The sequence below is a fragment of the Homo sapiens genome, chromosome 8 (genome assembly GCF_000001405.40).
Source record: "Homo sapiens chromosome 8, GRCh38.p14 Primary Assembly".
NCBI lineage: Eukaryota > Metazoa > Chordata > Mammalia > Primates > Hominidae > Homo > Homo sapiens.
The window spans coordinates 138725721-138751250 of record NC_000008.11 but is presented as its reverse complement, the minus strand read 5'-3'; the positions used below and the strand labels follow the sequence as shown (position 1 = coordinate 138751250).

General features: G+C 47.1%; 1 protein-coding gene across 13 annotated transcripts in view; it reads left to right on the top strand.

The window, feature by feature from the left end:
* COL22A1 (collagen type XXII alpha 1 chain) overlaps positions 1-25530 on the top strand; it is a 325807-nt gene that overhangs the window by 162791 nt on the left and 137486 nt on the right. For all 13 annotated transcript variants that reach the window (XR_001745487.2, XM_017013150.3, XM_011516886.4 and 10 more), the window contains one exon: positions 13674-13727. Coding sequence is in view for 12 of the 13 variants with exons in the window: in XM_017013150.3 (XP_016868639.1) it covers positions 13674-13727 (54 nt within the window). In the remaining variant the exon portion in view is untranslated. The remainder of the gene's footprint in view (positions 1-13673; positions 13728-25530) is intronic.

Genomic DNA, 25530 nt, shown 5'->3' with positions numbered 1-25530 from the left:
ATCAGTCTGTTGTCTGCCAGGAGTCATATATAGAGAGACATGAATCCATTGGGTGATCACAGCCCCAGAGCAGGGAAGCCCAGTGCTGAGGGTATACAGAGAAGAGGCAACTGAGTGCATCTAATATATCCATGCCATTATTGAATATCATATCTCATGGTATTTAATTAATTTAATTAAGCACCTGTTTTCCTATCTAGATTGTGCACATTATTGGATATGATATCTCATGGTATTTAATTAATTAAGCACCTGTTTTCCTATCTAGATTGTGCACACCATAAGGGTATAATTCACCAGTAAATTCAGCTCTTGAAACAATGCCGTACTTTCTGAGGAGGGCTGCAGAAGCATGCTTGGGTTGTACCCCTATCCCCTCCAATGCTCCCACAGCAAACTGGACTGAAAGCCAGACTCAACTCTGTGTCCCCAGTTCCCACCAAGGTACCTGGCACAGGGCAGGAAGTCAGCTCACATTTGTTGAACTGTAACCGTTAAGCTTGTATCGCCTTTTACTAGTTCACATGGTTAACAATCTGAGGGCCACAGGCATCCACAGATGGGCAGGTAGCTCCAGGGACCAGTGAGCTTCCTGCCTCTGGAGGTTTACACCACTGATGGGTGGGTAGGAATGGAGTCCTGGCATCTGGGAGAGGCAGCCCTCATTCCACGTATGGCCTCTCTTAGCCTGCACAATCTGTAGCTCAGTGACGTGGATAGTGCCATATATTTTGCTGTGGATTGACTTCGTCTAAGGGGGTTGCCTCCCCATCACAGTTCACATCCTCCGTTCTGAAAGGGGGTGGCCTGCTCTTCTCATTCAGCGCCGACTCTGACCTGTGCTTACCCACTGGTTAACTTCGATCTTTGGTTTTCAAAGAACTGTGCCTCCTATAACCCTTTTGAATTCTCAAAATTCTACAAATAATTTATTTTAAGGCTAGGTGAGGCAGGGAAAGGCATCAGGAAGGTGCACTGGGTGAGAGAGATTGTATTAGTCTGTTCTCACGCTGCTAATAAACACATACCCGAGACTGGGCAATTTACAAAAGGAAGAGGTTTAATGGACTTACAGTTCCACATGGCTGCGGAGGTCCCACAATCATGGCAGAAGGCAAGGAGGAGCAAGTTACGTCTTACATGGGTGGCAGCAGGCAAAGAGGGAGCTTGTGTAGGGAAACTCCTGTTTTTAAAACCATCAGCTCTTCTGAGGCTCATTTACTATCATGAGAACAGCATGGGAAAGACCTTCCCCCATAATTCAATCACCTCCCACCGGGTTCCTCCCACAGTGTGTGGGAACTGTGGGAGTTACAATTCAAGATGAGATTTGGGTGGGGACACAGCCAAACTGTATCAGAGATTCACTCGCCCCCACTTCCCATTCAGCATCCCCACCCCTGGCTCAGTTTCCCTGTCAGTCAAGTGAGGCAGTCAGGTGGGTCAAAGCTAGGTGTCTCCCTCCTCCATAGAGTGGAAGGATCCTGGGCTTCAGAACAAGATGCACCTGGGATTGAAGTGCTGATCCACGTCTCAGCAGCTGTGTGACCCTTGCAAGTTACCTGGTCTCTCCAGGCCGGTTTACTTCTTGCTACAGTGGGGAAGATATCACCATCAGCTGTGTTGTTAGGAGAAAAAGTGCTCAGCAAGGGACTTGGCCCTGGTTGGGCGGCATGATGTGACAGCTGACATGGCTGTCATTCTCTCAACATGCTCCCGCACATGCTCCTGCACAGTCTTAAGAGAAAACAACAATCTTTGTACATTTATGTAATTAATGTGTACGTGAAGCTTTTTTCATTTTGCATTGAACTTGGGCAATTGTTATTTTTCCAAAGTAGAGTTAGATGATGGGTGGAACTGTTTATATAAAGATGACTGTGAAGGTTTTTAAAATCTACATCTTTATCTAATTTACTCTTGTTAAGGCAAGGAGGGAACATCTTGCCCAGAGCTCACTCACCAGGCTCATACCTTCTGTATTAGTTCATTTTCATGCTGCTGATAAAGACATACCCAAGACTGTGTAATTTATAAAGGAAAAGAGAGTTAATGGACTCACAGTTCCATGGGGCTGGGGAGGCCTCACAATCACGGCCAAAGGTGAATGGACTCACAGTTTTATGTGTCTGGGGAGGTCTCACAATCATGGTAGAAGGTGAAAGACATGCCTTACATGGCAGCAGGCAAGGAGAGAATGAGAACCAAGTGAAAGGGGTTTCCCTTGTAAAACCATGAAATCTCGTGAGACTTATTCACTACCACAAGAATAGTATGGGGGAAACTGCCCCCATGATTCAATGATCTCCCACCAGGTCCCTCTCACAACACGTGGGAATTATGGGAGTCAAGATGAGATTTGGGTGGGGACACAGCCAAACCATATCACCTTCTTAGATACAACTTCTTTAAACCTGCTGGATGTGCTTCCCAGGGTGACTGCCATCATCTTCAGAAACACTTTTTACCCTTCTGAGGAATACCAGCCACCCATGCAATGGTGCTTGGCCTGATCTGAGCTTAACACAACCCACAGGCCTTGGAAATTGGGCAATTCACTGGGTCTGGAGATTTGAGGAATAAAACAAGGAGATCCAGAGAAGCAAACAGGGTGAGGGGTTGGGGTGCAGTGATGATGGGCAGGGGTAGGATATGGTGTTTATTGAGCTCCAATTACATGGCAGCTCCCATAACAGCTCTGCCATCCCCATTTCTGCAGATGAAGGACAGGCTCTGATACAGCACAGCCACCAGTGGCCCCTCAGGGATTCGCACGTGCGGCTGTGCGTCCCCAAAGTCTGACTTCTCATTTTCTCCCTTCTTTCTTTCCATGTGTCAGTCTGTCAGAAAGCTCATGTTGACTTCTTGTGATGCACAGACACTCTGCTAAATGCTTTGGGATTTTCTGAAAACATTAAGGTCTCAGCTACTAGGAGCTCACAGGTCGGCTAAGGAGCTCAGTGCATATAAACAGATGACCTCAGTGGAGACTGAGGAAGACTACAGATGTTCAGAGGACAGAGGGAGATCTCAGCTTGAGGGAGGCCACTGAGAGGAGCCGGGGGGCTGGAAATAGGCACATCCAAGGGAAAAGGTGATGTTTGAGGTGGCCTTGCAGGAGTGAGTGAGTTTTCCATGGGAGTCAATGGGAGCATTGAAATCAGTGTTTTGGATATGGGAAGTGCCCCCTTGAGAAGGCATCCTGCCTCTGCACACTTGCTTGTGCCCCTCAGCTTCGACCTGGACTTCTTCCTCTTCAGTTTGGAAACTCATTGGTGTAATTAAAATAGCTGCAGACATGGCTTCTAGTTGAGGCTCTGCTGGCATCTTATTGGGGACTCTCAACCAGTCTCTCTTTTCTTCCTCTTGTGTTCCCTTTTCCAATTTTTTTCCTATTTTTCTTTTACTTGCTTTTATTCCCTCCTGCCCCTTTTCTTCTCACCTTTCCTTCCACAAATTCATCCATTCAACAAACATTTCTTCTTCTGTATCTACTGGGTACCAGGCATTGTTGTAGGCAAGTGAGTAGTTCAGGAAGAAGGAAGCTCCTGCCCTCATGCTGTTTATATTCTGGCAGGCCGGGGGAAAGACATGAAATAGCATGTAAGCAGGTGATGCAGGAAGGCCCCATGAAGACAATTTTCCTTGAACAGGCTCTCCAGAGGTGAGGACATTGGCCAAACTGATAGCTGGGGAAGAGCCTGACAGGCAGAGGTCCTGGGGCAGGCGCAGGTGTGGAGTGGTGGAGCCCAGAGGTCCATGTGGCTGGACCCAGCAAGGGGCCTGGCAGGAGACGAGCTTCCTTTCAGGCCTTGTGGGTCATTATAAGGACTTTGGCTTTTACTGTGAGTAACCAATGGAGCTTTTCCATGTTTTCAAAAAATGTTTTGTGATGAAAAACAAGTTTATGATGAAAAAAATGTTTTATGATGAAAGATCATACACAAAAGTAGAAAGGACAGTAAAATGAACCTTCATATACCCTAAATGCACTCAACATTTATAAGTTATTGAAAAACTTCTTTTCTATATACCAACACTCCTACCCACCACTGAATTCACTGAAAGCAAGTCCTAAAATCATCACATCATGTTGTTTCTAAATATTTCAGTATGTTGTCTCCAAAAGAGAAGGAATTTTAAGAGACACAGAACCATAATACCATTATTTTACCTAAATCTATGAACACTGCTTCTTGAAGCTGCATCAAATAATGTCAGGTTCCAGATGGGCCTATCTCATACATTTCTGGTCGTGGTTGCTCATGCTGGGGTTTTGAGGGTCGCAGTGGCAGGGCCCGGGTTGCACCCTAAACACATTCATGTGTCTTATTGCATTGAGAACAGACTGCAGGAAGGAGGCCAGTTAGAAGGCTCCCACGGTGATCCACTGAGAAAGGGCAGGGGCTGGGCAGAGCACAGGGCTTCTGAGCACCCATCCTGGTTCGGGTCGGATGCCAGGTGGAGGGCATGCTGAGGTAAGGACAGAAGTCATGCTCTGAAAGGCCCAGCGTCTAGTAAAGGAGAGTGAACTAAGAGTGACAAGGCAGGATGGTGGGAGCATTAGCACAGGGTGCAGAGCAACACAGAGGATGGCTCCCCGCTTGTCTTGCTTCCTCTAGTGAATGAAGGACGATGAGCAAGTGGGTTTTGGGGGCCCCATGGCCTTTCAGTCATCAAAGGTGATTCCCTGATTCAGGTTGTGTTCTGTCATTTGGATATTGCTAGCTCAGTGCCTGCATCTATGGAGAAAAAGGGAGTAGAAACAAATTGTAATGTTGTGGGCTTGGAAGCAGCTTCCTGTTCAGTCGCTCTCTAGCTGAGTCAGGAAAATGCAAGACAAAATGACTTATTCAAAAAATTATCTCTCTCCTTCCCTTGCCATGACCTGTCATTTCCTCCTCATCAACTTCAATTGAAACATCACTCAGAAGAGCTCCTGAACATCACTGCACATGCTCAGGCTGTGCAAGGGAAGAGACGAGGCTGACGGCTGACAGCAGGCTGGAACCTGGGCATGGAGAGACAGACACTAAACATGGGTTGGGGGGCAACAGAACCCAGGCCCTTTATTTTAGAGATTAGCAACAGGCAGACAGGATAATCCTCGGCAAAGTAAATGCATTCATTTTGGACAAAGCTGGTATTTTTCCACATTGACATGGTAAAAGGGGGAATTGAGAGCGAGGCACGCTCCACGCCATCCCCGGAGCTGCAGGAGATGCCCGCCCACCTGCCCGCCTGCCTGCTTGCCTGCTGGAGGGCGGTAGCAGTCACCAGGCAGAGAGATAGAGAAGGACTGCATTTCTCTTTCCAAGGCTTTAATTTCCTGCCTGTTGTCTGAGCTGGGCATTAAGGAGGTTGATCAGGGAGCACTGTCATCTAGTTGAAATGAGAGATGCTGCAGTTACGTCTGAATCCTGAATGTTTTGGCGGAAGACCCAGCCTGGCTCAAGGCCACTGCAGCAGTGGGACCTTTCAGAGCTTCCAGGAGGCTCACTTTTCCAATAAAAAAATTGTCATGCCCGAATCATCCACCTCAAAATGGCTGTCACTGTTATTCTCACACCATCCCATTTTAATTTTCTGCAGATTTATCTGATATTTTTCTTATTTGAGAATTTGTTTTTGTTTTCTTTAATAGAATGTAAGACTATGAGAGGAAGGACTTTTTCTTATTTATTTTTATAACCACAGTAATGAGAAGAGTCCCTCACACCTGTAAAACATACATATTTTATGGACACATAACATAGTTATAAATACAATAGGAATATGCCTATAAAATACGCATAAATAGATAATGGCATTAATTAAATAGGTAATGACATTAATATAATCTCATACAGTTAAGGAACATAAGTGAATGATTAGAAGAGGACAAGATTCAGAACTGGGTGCCTGGTCACCTGGGTTCTCACCTTCCACAGGGGATGGCTCATTTTGGAGAAGAGAATGTGGTCCCTTCTTACGCCCTGCCTTGCTCTGTAGCACTGAGTCTCAGCTGAAATCGCCTAGACATCATCTTTCATCTTCTCTGGAAGATTTAAAAAAAAAAAAGAAAAGTTGGTAAAAAAAAATTGTATATTGTGACACATTTCAACAAAATGTAAAATTTGGAATGTCTATAGAAGCATTGTGGCAACAGGGATCTTTGAGACTCACAGTGAGAAATATATCCAGAAACGTGAATGACCTTCTCAAGGTCACTTAGATCTTGGTCATTGCTCTTCCCACAGCGGGTGACAACCTCTTTGGTTCATCTGATCATTTTCTCAGTATCTTCTGGTTTCTCTTCCCTGTCATCAATAGATGAGGACTGGAGAGGTGATCCTATCCAACAAGATGTCCCCTCTTACAAAGACGGCAGTGCTCCCCACCCATCTCATGGGGTTCTTGACTGTCATTTACTTTAAGAATGCATTTTAAAAATGGAATCTCTCTTTATAGATGTATAGCTAAGAGAAGGGAGAAAGGAAATAACATTGATTGAATAGTCACTGCATAGCAGGCACTTCCCTAGGGAATTGTTTGCACCCATGATTCTCATTTAATTCCCACAAGGACTCTCTGAGGTATGGCGGTTTTAATCCCATTCTACTAATTAGGATTCTAAGACTTAAAGGTATACATCAAATTACTGAGTGTTACCCAGGCTGTAGGTAGTGAGGGTACTTATACCTGGGGCATGAGATCTGCCTGGCTCTGAATTCTCCACCCTCTTTGCTTCAATATTGTGAGTATGAGTGTGTGTGTGTGTGTGTGTGTGGTGTGTGTGTGTGTATCCATGTGCATATCAGAATTCTAACATGGAAGTTAACTGTCCTTGCTGTGCATGCTTTGAATAGATCTAGGACCCTCAATACCTGACCATGCCTGTCCGATAGGATGCACTGGGCACACATCAGCTTAATCCCTGCCTTTCGCTTGGAACCAAGGGTCTCATTATTGTTGAAGGTTATCTGGCCCACCAGCTCTGATTTCTAGTAGATTTGAGGAAGGAAACATGGCCAGTCTTTTTTTGCAGTGGCAGCCTAGGTTGAATTCGTTTTCCTTTTTCATTCTAAAATCTCTTTCCTGCCTTTTCCTGCTCTACCAGGTGGTAACAGTGTTGTTTGGATCCTAGGCTACTGTTTGATTCATTTCATGGCATGAAGCCAGGGTTTATATCAGGACACCCTGGGTTTTCCCTGCGCACCTGGTTTCAGCTCTAACCAGTAGAAAATAATCATGTTTGACATTCTGAGGCCTGGAGAACAGGAACTGAGCAGAAGACCATACGGCACATATTAGAATCAGTTGCACAAGCAATCCTTTTATCTGTTAATGGCCCCTCAGATGACTCTGTTAACTCATCCTGGCTGGGAGAGAATTGCTGTTCTGAATTTATAGGCTTCCTTCCTCTCCATGGGCAGACAGGCAACCTTGGAAATACCAGTTCCGCTCAGCATCTTGGCATTCAGAATGGCTTGAAAAATCTGCCCTCTTGATAAATTACAAACACTTAATCCAGATATTGTGCTGGGTAGCAATTTAAAAGAGAAGAAAAGAAAAATGACAAGAAACAGGCCTATCGTTAGTAAAACAGCTCTTTATTGCTACAAAATTTATTTTTTCTAGCACTTCTCAAATCTTTGAAACCAGTTATGGGACAAAACTGCAGAGATTACATAGCCGCTGCTACATCTACCTTTACTAGAGTTGCCACTATCACCACTGCCACCAATAATGTTAGCATCACCATCACCATCACCACGATCACCACCATCACCATCACCATCATTACCACCAAAACCATCAACTCCACCATCACCATCATGATCACTACCACCATCACCATCAACTCCACCATCACAATCACTACTACCATCATCAACTCTACCATCACCATCACCATCAACTCCACCATCACCATCACAATCACTACCACCATCACCCTCATCAACTACACCATCACCATCATCTCCACCATCATCATCACAATCACTACCACCATCACCATCAACTCCACCATCACAATCGCTACTACTATCACCATCAACTCTACCATCATCATCACCATCAACTCCACCATCACCATCGTGATCACTACCACCATCACCATCAACTCCACCATCACCATCACAATCACTACCACCATCACCCTCATCAACTCCACCATCACCATCACCATCAACTCCACCATCATCATCACAATCACTACCACCATCACCCTCATCAACTCTACTATCACAATCACTACTACCATCATCATCAACTCCACCATCATAATCACTACTACCATCATCATCAACTCTACCATCACCATCACCATCAACTCCACCATTACCATCACAATCACTACTACCATCATCATCAACTCTACCATCACAATCACTACTACCATCATCATCAACTCTACCATCACAATCACTACTACCATCATCATCAACTCCACCATCACCATCACCATCAACTCCACCATCACCATCACAATCACTACCACCATCACCATCAACTCCACCATCACAATCACTACTACCATCATCATCAACTCTACCATCATCATCACCATCAACTCCACCATCACCATCGTGATCACTACCACCATCACCATCAACTCCACCATCACCATCACAATCACTACCACCATCACCCTCAACTCCACCATCACCATCACCATCAACTCCACCATCATCATCACTATCACTACCACCATCACCCTCATCAACTCCACCATCACAATCACTACTACCATCATCATCAACTCTACCATCACCATCACCATCAACTCCACCATCACCATCACAATCACTAGTACCATCATCAACTCTACCATCACCATCAACTCCACCATCACAATCACTACTACCATCATCATCAACTCTACCATCATCATCACCATCAACTCCACCATCACCATCACGATCACTAGCACCATCACCATCAACTCCACCATCACCATCACAATCACTACCACCATCACCATCAACTCCATCACCATCACTACTATCGTCACCATCACCACCATCATCACCATCACCATCAACTCCACCATCACCATCACGATCACTATTACCATCATCAACTTTACCATCACCATCACCATCAACTCCACCATCATCACAATCACTACCACCATCACTATCAACTCCACCATCACCATCACCATGGCTACTATCATCACCATCATCACCATCACCATCAACTCTACCATCACCATCACCATCAACTCCACCATCACCATCAACTCTACCATCACCATCACCATCAACTCCACCATCACCATCAACTCTACCATCACCATCACCATCACTACTATCATCACCATCACCACCATCATCACCATCACCATCAACTCCATCACTACCATAACCATTAATGCCATCATCATCAATGCCACCACAAGACCCCATCACCGCCACCACCACCATTATTATCATCAAAATCACCAACTGCTACCATTGTCATCACCATAACCACTATTACTAAGTACTTTGTGGGCGTCATCCAATTTAAACTCTGTGGCACTGCTAGGTGGTTGAATTTTGAAACCAGATCTGTTTGACACACAGTCTATCACCCACTACAAGAACACAAAGGAGCCAGAATATGACTCTTACTATTTCTTCTTCCTCATATTCATTATCATCTTCCTCCTCATTCTCATCACTCTCTGTTACAGTTGAGGGATGCTTTATTGTGTTTTATAAATAACTTCCTCAAATATTAAATCATTTCTTCTCCTATTATCTTTTGAAATAATTATCATGATTATAATCTTCCATGTGGGAAAACAAAGACTCAGCAAGTTAAATGGCTTATCCTTCCAATGTACCTTAGATTTAAACTTCTTTTCCTTACAATATCATAGAGGAAAGGGGTTGGAGAAAGAACACAGAGAATTCCTTTGATTCTACTCACTTGGAGCTTTGTACCCCACCCCGGCAATTCTAACTTGTTAGCTCTTGGGTGGCCCCAGGAAATCCATGACTCAAGTATTTATTTCTCATCATTTGAGCTGTTGTCATTTCTGCTCAAGCTTCATGGAAGAGATAGCACTGAACTGGGATGTGATTTTGATGGGCTGAGATGTGAAGGGAGGATTACAGACAGAGGGAGCAGAATGGCAACGTCTCAGGCATCAGAAGTCCTAAGTGGGTATTTGGGGCTGAGCTAAGCAGTCCATTTGGGCTCTTGCTTAGGAGATGATGGTGTGAACCCTGGACACCAAACTGAAAAGGTAGGTTAGAACCCCAGGAATCTCCAAATCAAACAGCTCAGATGCCTGCAGAGGTTGGCCCAGGAGGGCCTGAAGGAAGATACTGGGCCTGGGAACAGGGTGGGTTCCTGTGGCTGTGGCTACAGGAAGGAAGGCCACCTTTGAGAGGCACTGGAATGGCCCATGATGCTGGGGGTGCGGAAGGTACAGATGCCAGAGAGATGTTACCCTGAGGCTTCTCTGGATGATGCCCCTTCATGGATGACCCATGAAAGACCTGCTCTGACACTTTTCTTTCTCTGGCCTCTTGCCACCTTTTTGGTTTCTTTCTCCTTGCTGAAAACCTAATGCTTATGGTGTCTGCTTCCATAGATGTGTTTCTTTGCATTTCTCTCTTGTCTACCACGCGCCTCCTACTTGCCCATACATCTGCTCTTCCAGATCAATTGATTCAACTTTCCTGGCACAGGAACACCTCCTGAATTCATGCCTTTTACAAGTCCTGTTGTCAACTTAGGTGTTCACCTTCCTGAGCATGAGTAACGTTGTTACATAAGATCCTGGGGTCAGCTCAGGAAGCGGATTGCTGCTGAGACCTTGCTGCATCCCCAAATGGTGATTGTGTCACCCTGGAGAGGGAACTGATGCTTCATCCCCCGACCACAACGGCATCTTAATGAGTCATTCTGCTCAGTCATGGCCCAGACCTCTGCATCTCTTCTCTCTCATCCTTTCTTACCAACCATTAGATATTCCGATCTCTCCTTTCAGTCTTTCCTCTCAACACAGTTACATTGCTGGCTTGGATTCTAACTTCCGATGATTATTCACCAGGTCCTCCCACTGACCTTGAGGGAAAATGGTTTATTCATCTTGTAAATAACCGGTGACTCTCTATAGAATCCCCTGGAAGCAACTGGAGGGGGTGTCTGTCTAGATAGAAAATGGAAGGTGTCTGGTTTCCTTTCCCTGAGGAAGGGGAGCTGGCAACTCTTAGCTGTCTTATGATCAGCTTCCCGATGTCTGCATTAATCAGAGCTGGATCAGATGGATGGAGAAACCCAGTGCCTCCAAGGCTTGGCTGTCTTCTGAAGGTATCTGTGACCACATCTTGAATTCTACCTGGCAAGTATCAAGAAACTCATTGTGACCCAGACATTATCGCACCCTCCAGCCTGATGGGTTCACAGCTCAAAGGTGTGGATCCAGGGGCTTCTAAACCAGGCTCACTCACTCTCTCTGCTAGTCAACAAATCTCCAAGTTGTATCTTCCCTTCCTCCCTGATATCACTTTTCTCTAACTTTTCACTGCTATCCTCAGTGCCACCGTCATGGCTTGGGACTGCATAGTTCTCAAAGGGATGATTTATTCAGCCCACAAATGTCTATTGAATGTCCACTGTGTGGCAGGCACTGTCCTGAGCCTACAGTATATAGCATCAAACAAAACCAGAGCCCGACTCCACTTTCAGATGGCTTGTGTCCCAGTAGGGGTAGACATGCAATAAATAAGCACAAACGCCAATGGTGCATCTGGTGAGGATCCGCACTAAGGAAATTACGGCAGCGTGAGAAGACACAGTGGGACAGAGGGAGTGCTATTCTGGTGAGGCTGGCCAAAGAAGACATTCAGTTAAAGGAGCATTTCAGGAGAAACAAAATTGAATTGAAAAACTGATCTATGTGGATACCTGGGGAACAAACCCAGGCAGAAGGAAACGCCAGTGGACAGACCTTCAGTTTGGAATGCATTTGGCAGATTCAAGGTGGAGGTGGGAGGCCACTGTGGCTGGAGGTGGGAAAAAAGTACATGGAAATGAGAAGAGGGTTGGAGGAAATGAGGTCATGGAGGGCAGGCTGGAGGTCATTAAAGTTCTGCTCTATGTGAGCTGAGAGGCATTGTAGTGTTTTGAGCAAAGGAGATGTGACATGATTTATGTTTTAATGATATCATCCTGGCTGCTTTGAGGGGAAAAGTGCAATGGCCAAGTGTGTTAAGGGAGGCACTGTTTAGAAGGCTACTGCAGTGGTTCTGGGGAGAGAGAATGGTGCGCTGGTCCAAGGCAATGTTATGGGTTATGCTGGGCAGTGAGAGAAGCAACTTGAACAGCCTTAATCCATCCTCCCTGTTGCTCCCAGGGTGTGCCTGAGTTGGAGATTCCGGGACAGTAGAGAAAAGCAAGAGTCACCAAGGGGCAGAGAGAAGAGGGCCAGAGTTGCTGAATGAGAGGAGAGGACGATATCAAGTTTTACAATCTCACAGATACACTTAGAGTTATTTTGTAGAAAGCATCCCTTTTAATTCTTCAGAGCCCTGAGAAGCCAGCAATATTGGTACAGGCTTCAAGTCTGCATAGAACTGGGTGTGATCTGAACTCTGCCCCTTACTAGCTGTGCAACAAGAGAGACATGAGGTCTGAGCCTCGATTTGCACACTCGTCAATGGGATGAGAACATGGGCATTCCAGGGTCCTCTTGCAGAGTAAATTAGGAAAGGATCAGGTGGGAAGAACTAGAAAGAGAGTTTGCCGTGAAATAGACACTCAAAAAAATGTAGATCTTATCAAGGTCTTATTTTACTTTCAATTCTTGATTGTAGTGCTTTTATTTAATCAAGAAAACCACCAGGACAATGCCAAAAAGGGCTGTATTCTGTTCTTCAGATAACCTCTGTTATACAATATATGCCATTACCACATTATGTAAATTAAACTAACCAACACACACCTTACCCCTATTTAAGGAGATGGCCTCAGGTCACCCCACAACATCACCCTGCTGGATACTGAACATGTATGCACTGAAGCGTGGATTCCCACAGCAGAAGAGCAGAAACGCCCTAAGTAACCTACCTAGCCACGAGGAGGGGGTTGTTTCAATGCATCATGCCTCATTTGCACAGGGAAAACCATGCACTTGTATAAAGGATACCAGCAACTCTCCATGTGATATGGGATGTGGCTTAGATAAATTAAATGGAAACAAAGAAGCAAAGTTTAACAGGTTGAATGGCAAGCTGAAGTCTGTGAAGAAACGGGGGACGGGGGAGTGTGTGTGTTGGTGTGTGTGCGTGTGTAAGGCTTACCAATGCATAAAATCTCTCTGGGAAAATTAACCAGCATCTAGTAAGATTAGTTGTTTCCAAGGAAAGGAACTGAGTGGCTGAGACTGGGATTAAAAGGAGACTTTTCTTGGGTATACCTTTCTGTATCTTTTGAACATGGGTCCATGAGTTACCGAACACATTTAAGTTACAGAGCTGGGATCCCAAGCCTTACTGCTGACCTCAGAAAAAGCCTGAGTCCTTTTTCTGATCCCACATTGTTCCTCTGTGGGGCACTCCTGAGGGACAATTGTTAATCTGGGAGGTTGAGAGTAATAAAGACCCAAATGTCCACCGAGACTCATTATTAAACCCCCTCTGGTTGACAATTGCCTGCTTGTTAATTTTAGCTTCTTCTTTTACACTCAGGGGAAGAAAGGTGACATGGGACCACCTGGAATCCCTGGATTGCTGGGGCTGCAGGTAACTACCTTTTACATTCTCTTCCATAGCAACGCTGCTTTTCTCTGATTAAATAAATGACCAGGCAGCAGCTCTCAGGTGGGCAGCCAGAATCCTGCTGGTCACCTCATCAAACTATTAAAAAGAACAGCCAGTGGGTCACGTGTCCTCCCTCCCTCCTCCTGTGCTGTCCTGTGTGGGAGCTGAATGGCCATTGTTGGCTATCCTGAAGGAATTTCCATCTGGAGGCAGATGGGGGTGATAAAAGTGATGAGCAGTCCTAGGAGAAAGGGAAGTGCTGGGAGGCGAAGGGGGACCCCAGGACGAGGTGGTGGGGAAATCAGTCATGAAGAGGCTTGTCTCGCCTTGGCAGACAAGGCACTGCCAGCCAGGCTGGAATGAGCGGAGGGAGGGCCTTCCCTGGGGCACAGCTCTGCAGGGACCTGGTGGGCCGCAGCGCAGCGCTGGGCAGGAATGGAGCAGCATGTGGTGCCGCTGGAGCACAGGGCATGGAGCAGCAGGGGTAGGAAGATGAACCCAGTGAGAGTTGTAAGGGGATCAGCCACAGAGGCCAGAAAACCAAAAGGGCGGCCACTATCATAGGAGCTAAGAGGCCTGGGTTTGGGTCTCAGTCTGTCCTCCAAAACACTGGGACATTGGCCAAGTCCTTCCCCTGCTCAAACTGAGATGGGGCCTCAGTTTCCCCATCTGTAAAATGATGGGGTTAGGGCCCCAGTCTCAGAGGCCTCTGTTCCTAGGCAGGTGCTGTTCTCGCTCCCTGGATTCTCTGCCTCCTCCTCCTTCTTCCAGCTTCTCTGGGTCTCTTAGGACTCAGTTCTGGTGTAGCTTCCTCTGTCCTCATACTTGGCCCAACTCCCACAGGCCATACTTGGCTCTGCTTCCACAGGTCCAGCTGTGCCATCCTAGTGCCGGCCATGTGGATCCTGACACCCACCCATCTAGATAGGCACCCTCAGGGTCCTTGTCCCCATGTCATAGATGAGGGGTGAGGCTCCAGGCGCAGAGGGCTTCACTCAGGGCCACCCTCTGCTAGGCAGATGCCTGGCTTCAAATCCCTTCCTCCCTGCATGACCGAGGCCCTAAACTGTCTTAGTCTTCCTTATTTTCAAATGCAGCATCACCATGGGTCCCCCACAGGGTACCACAGTGTGGACAAAACATGGCAAGCCCCTGAAGCTCTCTGCCGGGCCTTTGCAGTGTACAGAATTCCCTTCATCCTTTCTTTGAGCCCCCCACCCACCAAAGCTTCACTCCTGTCCCCTGATCTGGGCCTCCCCTGGCATCAGTAAGTTCATGCTGAAGCAGGATCAGCAAGCAGAAGGCACAGAAGGAACCCAGTGCTCAGCTCTCGCCATAAAAAAGGAGGGCACACCTGAAGGTTGAGGAGAAGAGCAGTGACTATGAGAGGTGATAATGAGGTCCTGAGGCATAGCGCACAGGGGGTAGACAGATGTGGCTGTCCCTGTTCCCCTGGCCTCTTTGGCACCAAGCAGGTGGGCACAAGTCACTGCTGGGCTCTTCCGTTTGGTCCTCCTGGAGCTGTGGTAAAGCAGCTGGCTTCAGCACCACTCGGGACTGGACAGCCCCACCTCCACACCAGATTCCCCGGGGTGGCGGTCACACTGTCCGTCCCTCGTTGGCAGGGAGGCACTCATCCCGAAAACACTGCTCACTGCACTTCAGAAGCCAGTTTTTCCTACTGGCTGACATGAAAGCACTCTAGTGAAAGATGGCACCTTGGATGCAATCTGAGACTTCATTTCTGCACCCTTGACTCAGGTCAGGATGCAGCAGGGAATAAGAATATACGATCCATCATAATTCACAGTGTTCTAAAGATTTCACATTCACTGTGGCATTTTGCTATTAATAATGAAAAATAGAGTGGGTTTTGCCTTATGTTTTATTACCTTGCTTCATAGTGAGTCAACCTTGTGTATTTTAAAATTCACCATCAATGCAGCTCGATCAAATTATTTTAAGCTATAATTTTTCCCCCTACAACTCTTTGTTTGTTTTCTGGGAAAAGAGATTTCGTTCTTTCATTTTTAACTTTGAAGTCATTTTCATTCAGTGAATCTTTACTGAAGGCCAGACATTGAGCTGTGTGCTATAGATATAAATATTACCAGGCTTTCATGGCAGGGAGTAGCACCCTGTAATTGTGCACCCTGATGTGTTCAGGGATCTCAGTGGTTCAGAACCAGGCAATATAGCATTTGCAGTATGTACCACCTGGTGGCCTGGATGGGGCCACTGCCTGATGGAATCGAAGCTGTGTTCAGGTCAGCCACTCTTACGCTAAGAGGCCAGGTTTCTTTTTCTTCAAAGTTTAATTTTATTTTACTGTAAGTTCTGGGATGCATGTGCAGAACGTGCAGGTTTGTTACGTAGGTATGCATGTACCATGGTGGTTTGTTGCACCTATCAACCCGTCATCTAGGTTTTAAGTCCCACATGCATTAGGTATTTGTCCTAATGCTCTCCCTCCCCTTTCCCCCAACCCACTGACAGGCCCCAGTGTGTGATGTTCCCCTCCCTGTGTCCATGTGTTCTCATTGTTCAACTCCCACTTATGAGTGAGAACATGTGGTATTTGGTTTTCTGTTCCAGTGTTAGTTTGCTGAGAATGATGATTTCCAGCTTCATCCATGTCCCTACAAAGGACATGAACTCATCCTTTTTTATGGCTGCATAGTTTTCCATATGCTACCTTTTCTTTATCCAGTCTATCATTGATGGGCATTTGGGTTGGTTCCAAGTCTTTGCTATTGTAAATAGTGCTGCAATAAACATGCGTGTGCATGTGTCTTTACGGTAGAATGATTTATAATCCTTTGGGTATATACCCAGTAATGGGATTGCTGGGTCAAATGGTATTTCTGGTTCTAGATCCTTGAGGAATTGCCACACTGTCTTCCACAGTGGTTGAACTAATTTACACTCCCACCAACAGTGTAAAAGCGTTCCTGTTTCTCCACGGCCAGAGCCTGGGTTTCTATGCATCTCAGCCATTTCCTCTAATTCACTCTTCCTGACATATCCATGTGTCTACCTTGCCTGGGCCTGGCCTCTGTTTTCTCCTGCTTACTATCATGCATTTGCTTATTCATTCATGGATTTATTCATTCAACAGTTTTTTATTAAGTACGCACTGGGTACCAAATTCAGCCCTGGGGACGTAAAATCTAAGTAACTGCAGTCTATGCCATGAGAATTCGTACATTAATGGGCCAGAAAGAGACACAGATAGAGGAGGTGTTTTCATCTGAACCCTAAATCTCATATTTATTCAGGCAAGGTGAGGCCAACAGATCAGAAGACGACTGTCATTGAAGACAGTTTTGCTCCTCACAGTTTCCATGGATGGGAGCGTCTATTTCCCGCAGAGCTTTCGGGGAGCAACAGAGGCAGTTTGGAGGCAGAAAGGGTGAAAGGCAAACTTGGGCAGGAGCCACTACTGGTCAAGGGCGAGGCAGGGTCAGTTGCTGAGCAGGCTTAGGATTGGACAGTTTGAATAATTTCCGCAGGCTCCAAGCTGTACAGGTGGTTTCTCACGGTCTAGTACCTGGTCCAGGGGTGATTTAGGGCAGAGAGGTAGTGTCCTGTCCCACACCACAGGGGCCTGATTGAAGAAGGTGGACTAGGGATGGGCTAATTTGCAGATCAGGGTCCTACTCTCAAGCAAGTCCTTTGCTATCTCTAGGTAGCTAATCCTGGAAGGGGAAGGCCCTCCCTGCATCCACAAGGCCTCAAGATGTGAAAGCATCATCAAACAAAAGCACAGGATTAATCTGGAAGGAGAATCCACTGAGCTGAGCTTTGGAGAGGAGGTCAGGGCTCTGTGGAGGCCCAGAGCAGGATCTTGACACTGACCTGGAAAACCGAGGTTGATCCCATGGCAGCCTATCCCTGAAAGAGCAGTGGGGAGAAGTAAAGGGAAACATGTGTGTTTAGTTTCTGCTGTTGCCAAGCATTCTCTTTAGCTTTCATATATAATCGTGTCTATTCTTTATAACTGCCTGTGAGCAAAATTGCTTACCCTCATTTAAAATCTAGAGAAACCAAGCTCAGAGAGTTTAATTAGCTTTGCGTTATGGGAAGAGCCAGCACTGCCATCTTGGAGCGTGCAAAGCCCCAGGGTGGCTGGGATCCTATAAGATGCTTTTTATGCCTGTCTTTCAGAATGAAATATTCCACCTGCTAGAAAATTTTACAATAAATCTATACATCCATGATGTCCTATGTGGTGACTCCTGTATCCTGGCAGCCTTTTAGGAAAATTGGAAATCTGGTGTCTGGGCTGGCCAAGTGTTTATGTGCAGGCAGTGCGGCTTGGTGCTGTGCTCAGGACAAAGTCCCTTGAATTGGTGGAAATGCAGGCAGGGGAGGGCTTGGCCCGAGAAGAGGCTGGGTGGGCTGTGGGCCTGGGCCTCTGTGCAGAAACCCCTTGAAGTGGGAAGTCATAGGGTTAGTGCCACAGGGATCTACCATCTCAGAGGAAGACTCCCAAATTATGAACTGCTTCCCCCCAAAATAAACATGTCCAAGTCACGAAGGAATTTGATTGTCATGCTAATTTATGCAAGTAATTTTCATGCATCTTCAAATTCCATCTAACTTTATAAATCCAATTGGAACTAGGTGGTTATTAGGAATAATTATTCTTTACTAATGATAATTAGGTTAATTAGTCATTCATGCATCATCATTGTAACTACTAATCATATTAAATAGTCACTGTAGTATTAGAGGGACCAAGTGTTTCTTCATTAGTAATTGGACTGGTTAATTAATAAGTGGTTAATTACTTGTTTTCATTACTAATAATGAGAACAGTCATATTTTGTTGTTAATATTTATGTCTGTTGACTAATTTGTTACTCATTAATAATTAGATGATTTGGTTGTTTAGATATTTTGTTAACAATTAAATGAGAAGAAAGAAAAGTAACATTTGTGAAGTCCTCTGAGTTCTGGCCTAGTTCACACTTCTTTAATTCACACGTAGTGATTTGAAGAAGGGGCCTCCAACCGTTTTATGGCAGCTGGAATGAGGCTCTGAGAGAAGTCCATTGTCCAAGTCCATTGACATAGTATGAGGCCACCTGGGATTTGACCCAGGTCATCCTCAACCAAAGTCCCAGATTTTTCTTACGTAAATTTCTACCTATCTGTTCCCTGGCCCACAGGGGAAGAGTGACTTGCCCGCAGCACCTGTGAGTGCTCCTGACAGTGTCGCTTCTTGCGTTTTATTCTTGGCCTTCCTGTAGTCCCATTCTTTCTTGAAAGACTGGAAACTCTAATATTCTCATCTATAAAAGGACAATAATGTGTAGAATCTTTGGCTTTCTAGACATTTTTTGGCGGGAGAAAGTGGAGGAGAGGAAGGGAAAGGGGCTTTCTAGTCCTAGAAAACCCAAATGCCATTCAAGTATTTGCAGAAAAAGATAGAAAATGAGTTCAATATTGCTCTCCTATGATTTGGCAATTAGTCTTCTGGTTTCATTGGGAAACTTACCAGTGAGGTAACTCAAATGGCTGTTCTGTTTGAGGTATTGTTCAACTTGATTTCCAGAAGAAAAAAGGACATAAAATGAGGGTACTGATTTATCAGAAGGCCAAAGAAGATTGGTCCAAACTCAACAGTAGCTATTGAGCCTCACGGTAAGGTCCCCCAAGGCCATGGAAGATGCTGAAGTGCCATTATGTCATCCAGGAAAGCTGAGATGATGTGGAGCCTCTGTTACAGAGTGTTCTCTTATCTGGAAAATGCAAGAGCTTTCTGGGATCCCTCAGCCAACAGCAGCACGGGTAGACCAGCACTCTGTTTACATTCACAGTTACCCCCAGAACTCACTCTCTCTCTCTCTCTCAGGCCCTGTAGACTTTTTAACTAAACACATCAAATAGATCAAAACTGAATCCATCATGCCCCACAGCAACCCCACACACCTGCCCATTCCCCTGCAAGGCCCTCCCCTTTTGAGTATCAGGTTGTGTCCCAGTCCCAATCCAGCTGGTCACCGCATCACCACTGAGCTCTGGCTCAGACCTGCCCCTGGTCTGCCTGCATCCCTCCCCCTATCACCTTCTTCCAGTGCTGGCGCTGGCTGCCTTCTGCCTGCTCTCATATTTGTCTCATGGTCTCTCATCTTGCAAGTTTTCCTCCTACCATTGGCTGCTAAGGACACTAGAAATGTGTCTTTATTTATTTTTTTTGAGACGGAGTTTTGCTCTTGTTGCCCAGGCTGGAGTGCAATGGTGCAATCTTGGATCACTGCAACCTCTGCCTCCCAGGTTCAAGCGATTCTCCTGCCTCAGCCTCCCTAGTAGCTGTGATTACAGGCATGCGTCACCACACCTGGCTCATTTTGTATTTTTAGTAGAGATGGGGTTTCTCCATGTTGGCCAGGCTGGTCTTGAACTCCCGACCTCAGGTGATCTGCCCGCCTCGGCCTCCCAAAGTGCTGGGATTACAGGTGTGAGCCAATGCGCCCAGCCTAGAAATGTGTCTTTCTAAGCATAAGTCTTTTTGTGTCACTCTTTGATGCCACCTCTATTATTTTTGTGCTCCCTCGAAGACAAAGCCTTGTTTTCTTGCCCCGGGTGTGTGTGTCTCTTCCTCCCCTCCCCCTCCCATCTAGCCATGGCTCAGCAGCTCCATCCTCCTGTGGCTTCCTTCCTCTCCTATTCCACTCCCCTCTGTTCAGGCCCTACTAAGCCCTTCCACAGCAAGCTCACCCCACTTTTCGAGATGCTCCTGATTTCTCTACCATGCCTTCCTCTGAGCTCCGTGGCCTTCGAGCACCTCTTTTGTCTCTCTGTTTTCATTCTTTTCAACAGGTATCTCATGAATTCTGCTACATGCCGGAAGCCATGGTTTTTATACAAAACAATTCTGCACAGAAAGTATTTTTGTACCTACTATATATTTTTAGAAACCCTTGCCGTAAGTCACACAGCTGCTCAAAATATAACCCTGCCTTCGATCCTAAGCCCTCTGATGCTTTTCCCGGGACACCAGAGGCCTGTGTTTTATGTGTCTTACTAGGCTGTAATTTTCTGGAGTGGAGGGCTGAGTTGTCTTAAGACCCCAGAGAGAACACAGCGGTACGTAGTAGGCGTTGGCTGGGGGAAGGAGCCCTGCCCACCGCCATACTGGGTCTCCAGGGATAACTTCTTCCAGGTGCTCCAGGATAGTGCAGGTCCTTGGCTTTAAGGATCAAAGCTGTGCCTGCCCACTGCCCCTCTCCCTTTAAAGGCATCACCCACACCCTGTCACCTGTTGACACCCTCTTCCATCCAAGGTGTGAATCTTCCCAGACCCTGAGTGCAGGGACCTGCACATGGGCAGGGAGACAGATACTGTCCAGGGGCCTTGTGGTAATATGGACAAAATCCTTGTAGGATGCCAAGCATATAGTCAGTGCTTTAGGAAATTCAGTTTTCTCCCTTCCTTTTGGGGGAGTGCCAAAGTAGAAATAGCTATCCTAGCCGTGGGCTGAAAGGCCCTCACGTCCAGGTCCTCACAGGATGCTCCTGTCCTCCTACCCCTCCCTCACCAGCCCTCCCCACAGCTGGCCTGAGGCTGTGTCAGAAACAAAGCGAGTTATGCCAGAGCTGAAGTCCCAGCTTCAGCACCTGTGTGGTAATCAGGACAAGGCTGAATGTAACCCCCAAGGCGAGGCGGCTGCTCTATTTAGAGTTTCTGCCCACACTGTGTGGCTCTCTGTGGCCATCTGAAGGCAGAGCATGGCCAAGAGACCAGGGTCTGGGGTAGGTTGGCTGCAGCTGGATCCTGAGGGCTGTTCCCTCCTGCCACCACACCTGGCGTTTCCCACTTGGACTTGTGAGCACGTCCCCTGTAAATTGGAAAAGAGGCTGGAAGCAAATCACCTCACCCTTTTTGTGATCCCTCCTGGAAGAGCTTTCCAGACTTTCAGACAGTTGCTTCCAGCTGCTTCCAGCTTCTCTCTCTCTGTAAATGGCTACGGCAGTTGCTAGGTTTAATGACTGGGTAGGCTTTCCCTCTCTTTCCGAAGTGTACAGCATCAAACAAGCAGACAGTGACTCAACCTCTGCTGTGTGCATAGCATGGAACCAGTTGCTGTGGTCTTACCAGGGAGATAGACTTTGAGATCTTCAAACCCATATTTAGAGCCCTAAGTTCTAGTCTCCCTTAACATGCAGAGTCTTTTAGGAGATCTCATTGTGTTAAAGGGTGGAAAGGGGCTGTAACAGCAGGGTGAGACCCGTGTCCTTGAGTGGGGACTGTACAGACAGTTTGCAAGGCTGGGGTACTGGGCTTGGGAGGAGAGAAGGGATCAGGGTGCTGTATCCATATATGAGCTTTATCTAATATCAGTTCATTTTCCTCCTCTGTAAATTTAATGAAAAAGCCCAGCCTCCCATGGCCAGTGGAGGGCTGGAATGAGCTGGTGTATGAAACACAGGTGGAGCATACACTGAATGGAGGTGGCCGAGCCCCTTGTCCTGCCTTTCTGGTTTTTTTCTCTCTCCCGGGTTGTGCTTCTTCCTGGGATGTTATGCTCACGGGCTCATCAGCAGTGCTAGTGGTGGTGGTGATGGAATACGGAGCTGGCCTGGACGAGTCATGCCCAAACCTGGCAGCTCATCAGAATTACCTGGTGTCTCAAAAGTCACTGACCCTTGGGGCCTGTCCCTGACCTGCTGTCTCTGAATCTAAACAAGGGTTCTGTGTACCTGCATTTGTGACAGGCCCTCCAGGTGTATCTGCAGCAGCCAGAGATGATGGCTGTGTGACCTAAAGTGGGTCCTGACCCTCTTTGGGCCTCAGTTTTCTTCATTGTCAGACAAGGAGGTTTAATTTCCACTAGGAGACCGCTAAAGAGCCATCACCTCTAACGTGCTATGAGACTCCAAAACTAGCAAGCAGCAGCAGGGCAAGGGTGTTCGCAAGGGGCAAAGGAGGAAGGCAAGCAGGGCCAGAGCGAGGGGCTGGTCAGGGGGCCGGCTTCCTGGGCTCACCTTTTTTGAAAAAGCATAAAACACTCCAGAGGTCATCGGCATCCTTAGACATGTAAGGAGGGAAGGGAACTGAATTGTTCATTCAGACTGCTAACAAAGAGACTCCTGTATGCTTGGGAAGGGCCTTCGGATATGCTCTGTGGGCTTGGGGTGCTATGAGGCCCTCAAAGACCGTGTTGAGGTAAAATTAGATCACCTGTCACCCCCATAACCCCAGTGCTTTGGGAGGCTGAGGCAGAGGATTGCTTGAGCCCAGGAGTTCAAGATCGGCCTGTGCAATATAGCAAGTCCCTGTTTCTACAAAAAAATCATAAAATTAGGCATGGTAGCACACGCCTGTAGTCTCAGCTACTCAGGAGGCTGAGGCAGGAGGATCACTTGAGCCAAGGAATTGGAGGCTGCAGTGAGCTATGATTGCACCCCTGCACTCCAGCCTGGGCAACAGAGCAAGACCCTATCTCAAAAAACAAAAACAAAAACAAAAAAACATTGCCTGGAATGTGCCTCTGGAGTGTGTGGGAGCTGTGAGTGTCACTGCAGGGCTCTTGCTTTGCTGAGAGAAGTGAGGGGCCAAGCTGGAGCAGTCTGTGGAGGTAGTAAGGCTCAGCCCACGATACAGCAAGGCCGGGAGGCTTCTTTAAAGCCTTCCAGCAGCCCTCGTCCATTAGGGAGGACCCAGGTTGGAACCTGCCCAGGGCACCCTGCAGCCCTGCCCTGCCCCTCCGTTGCTCCAGCTGTGAACAAATGTGTCTGATGAGGGAAGATGCTACCCCTAAGACTTGCCAGGACGGAGCGAGCTGCCGAGAAAACTAGGTCCAGGTGCCCCCAAATCCTGTTCAGTAAATGGTCCTGGTCTATGCCTGTTTTCTGACTCACGGGTGCCCCCAGAGGGAGAAAGGGGAACAGTTCACCGATGCGGCCACCTCTGCCATTTTTTGGTATTTCTCGCCCTCTAGTGGCCATGCAGTGTTGTTCTTTCTGAATGCAAACCCAGGCTCTCGGCTTCTGGCTCAATTCAGGAGATTGCCTCAAGCATTTACTGAGCGCCTGCTGGATGCCACACCCTAGGATAATCACTGTGTGAGGTGCAGGGGGAACAAGAAGGGCCTGCCCTCGAGGATCTGTGGATCAGATCAGCACAGTTAAGTTGGTTTTGAGCACGGAGCAGGGAGAGTTTAATTCCACTGGGGAATTGGAGACCATCTCAGAAAGGTGGAGATGGCTCAGAAGGGAGGTGTGGGAGGAGGGGAGGGGAGGGGGTATCCAGAGAGAAACCTGAGCTAGAAAAGTCATCTGCACCTTCTGGACGCTGTGGTGCTGGAGCTGAGGGAGGAGGGCGTGGTGAACTCGCTTGGAAGAGCACTACCCTTTAGAAAATCAGAGCCACTGAAGGTGGTTCAGCTGTGGGATCACTGGCTGTTCTAAAATGAGCGGGTCCCTGCGTGAGGACTATCAGGAACCTGGATATATGCAGAACGCCACATCCACTCTCCCTCCCAGCCCTGGTGTTGTGTGATTCCAGCTCGCCCCTGCTTATAACCCCATGTCCACCCTTCCTCCCTCTGGTCACCCCAGACTGCAGGCTGCTTTCCTGGACACACGTGTGACCATACACGTCTTCTTGTGCTCCTTCAGTTACTTCCAAGACCTTCACGGCAAAGTCGCTCCTCCTCACTATGACAGCCCGTGGCCTCTGAGGTCCTGGCTCAGCCTCCATCTGCCCTGTGCAGGCCCACACTCTCTTCATGTGGAACTGTTGGCTGTCATTCAAAACGCAATACCTTCAACAGCAGCCGGCCTTTATGAATGCAGCCCACCTGCCTTGTTGTTTATTTCTCGGGCTTTCTTCAGTACTCAGGTGCCTTCTCTGCCCACTTGCCTTCATCCCTCTGAGTGCAGCATCACTCCCAGGTGCAAGAACGACCTGGTGTCCCAGGACCCCCTGGACCTAGATCTGTGCTCATAGGTTTAGTTGGGCCATTTGTCTTTTTTTCTTTCTTTTTTTTTTTTTTTGTAGATACAGGATATTGCTCTGCACCCAGGCCAGAGTACAATGGCACAATCACAGCTCACTGCAGCCTCAAACTCCCAGTCTCAAACAATCCTCTCGCCTCAGCCTTCTGAGTAGCTGGGACTACAGGCAAGAGCCCCTATGACCAGTTAATTTTTATTTTTTTATTTCTAGGGAGATAGGGTCTTGCTATTTTGCCCAGTCTAGTCTCAAACTCCTGGCCTGTAGTGATCCTTTTGCCTCAGCCTTCCAAAGTCCTGTGATTACAGTTGTGAGCCACCATGCCCAGCCCTTTTCTACCGTAATTATTTGTCTACATGTTTCTCCCCTCCCCAGCCCTCCCCCTCAACCAAGACAGGAGCTTGGAAACGGGTCTTACGTTTCTGTTTGCTAACAGTACCTGCTTCTGTTCCTGGCCCGTGAAGATGCCCCAAAGTTTAAGTGTAGACCATGAATGATTTAAATAGCACAAGAATCTACATCTGTCAAGCAGCTGTGAGGACTGATCTCCATAGAATCACGGGGGAACCTTCACAAGTACAGATGCGAGACCCACTCACCCCATACCTAGAGAACCAGAAGGCCTGGGCGTGAGATCTTTTTACTCACCCCTGGTGATTCTGATCCTGGCGCCAGCCCTGCTCAATGACTCATGATTGAGAAGCACTCTTCTGGAAGGCCTTTATGCATGGGTCAGACTATGTGTGTGTGTGTGTGTGTGTGTGTGTGTGTGTGTGTGTGTGTGTGTCTGCACATGTGCACACATATATGTATTTACAT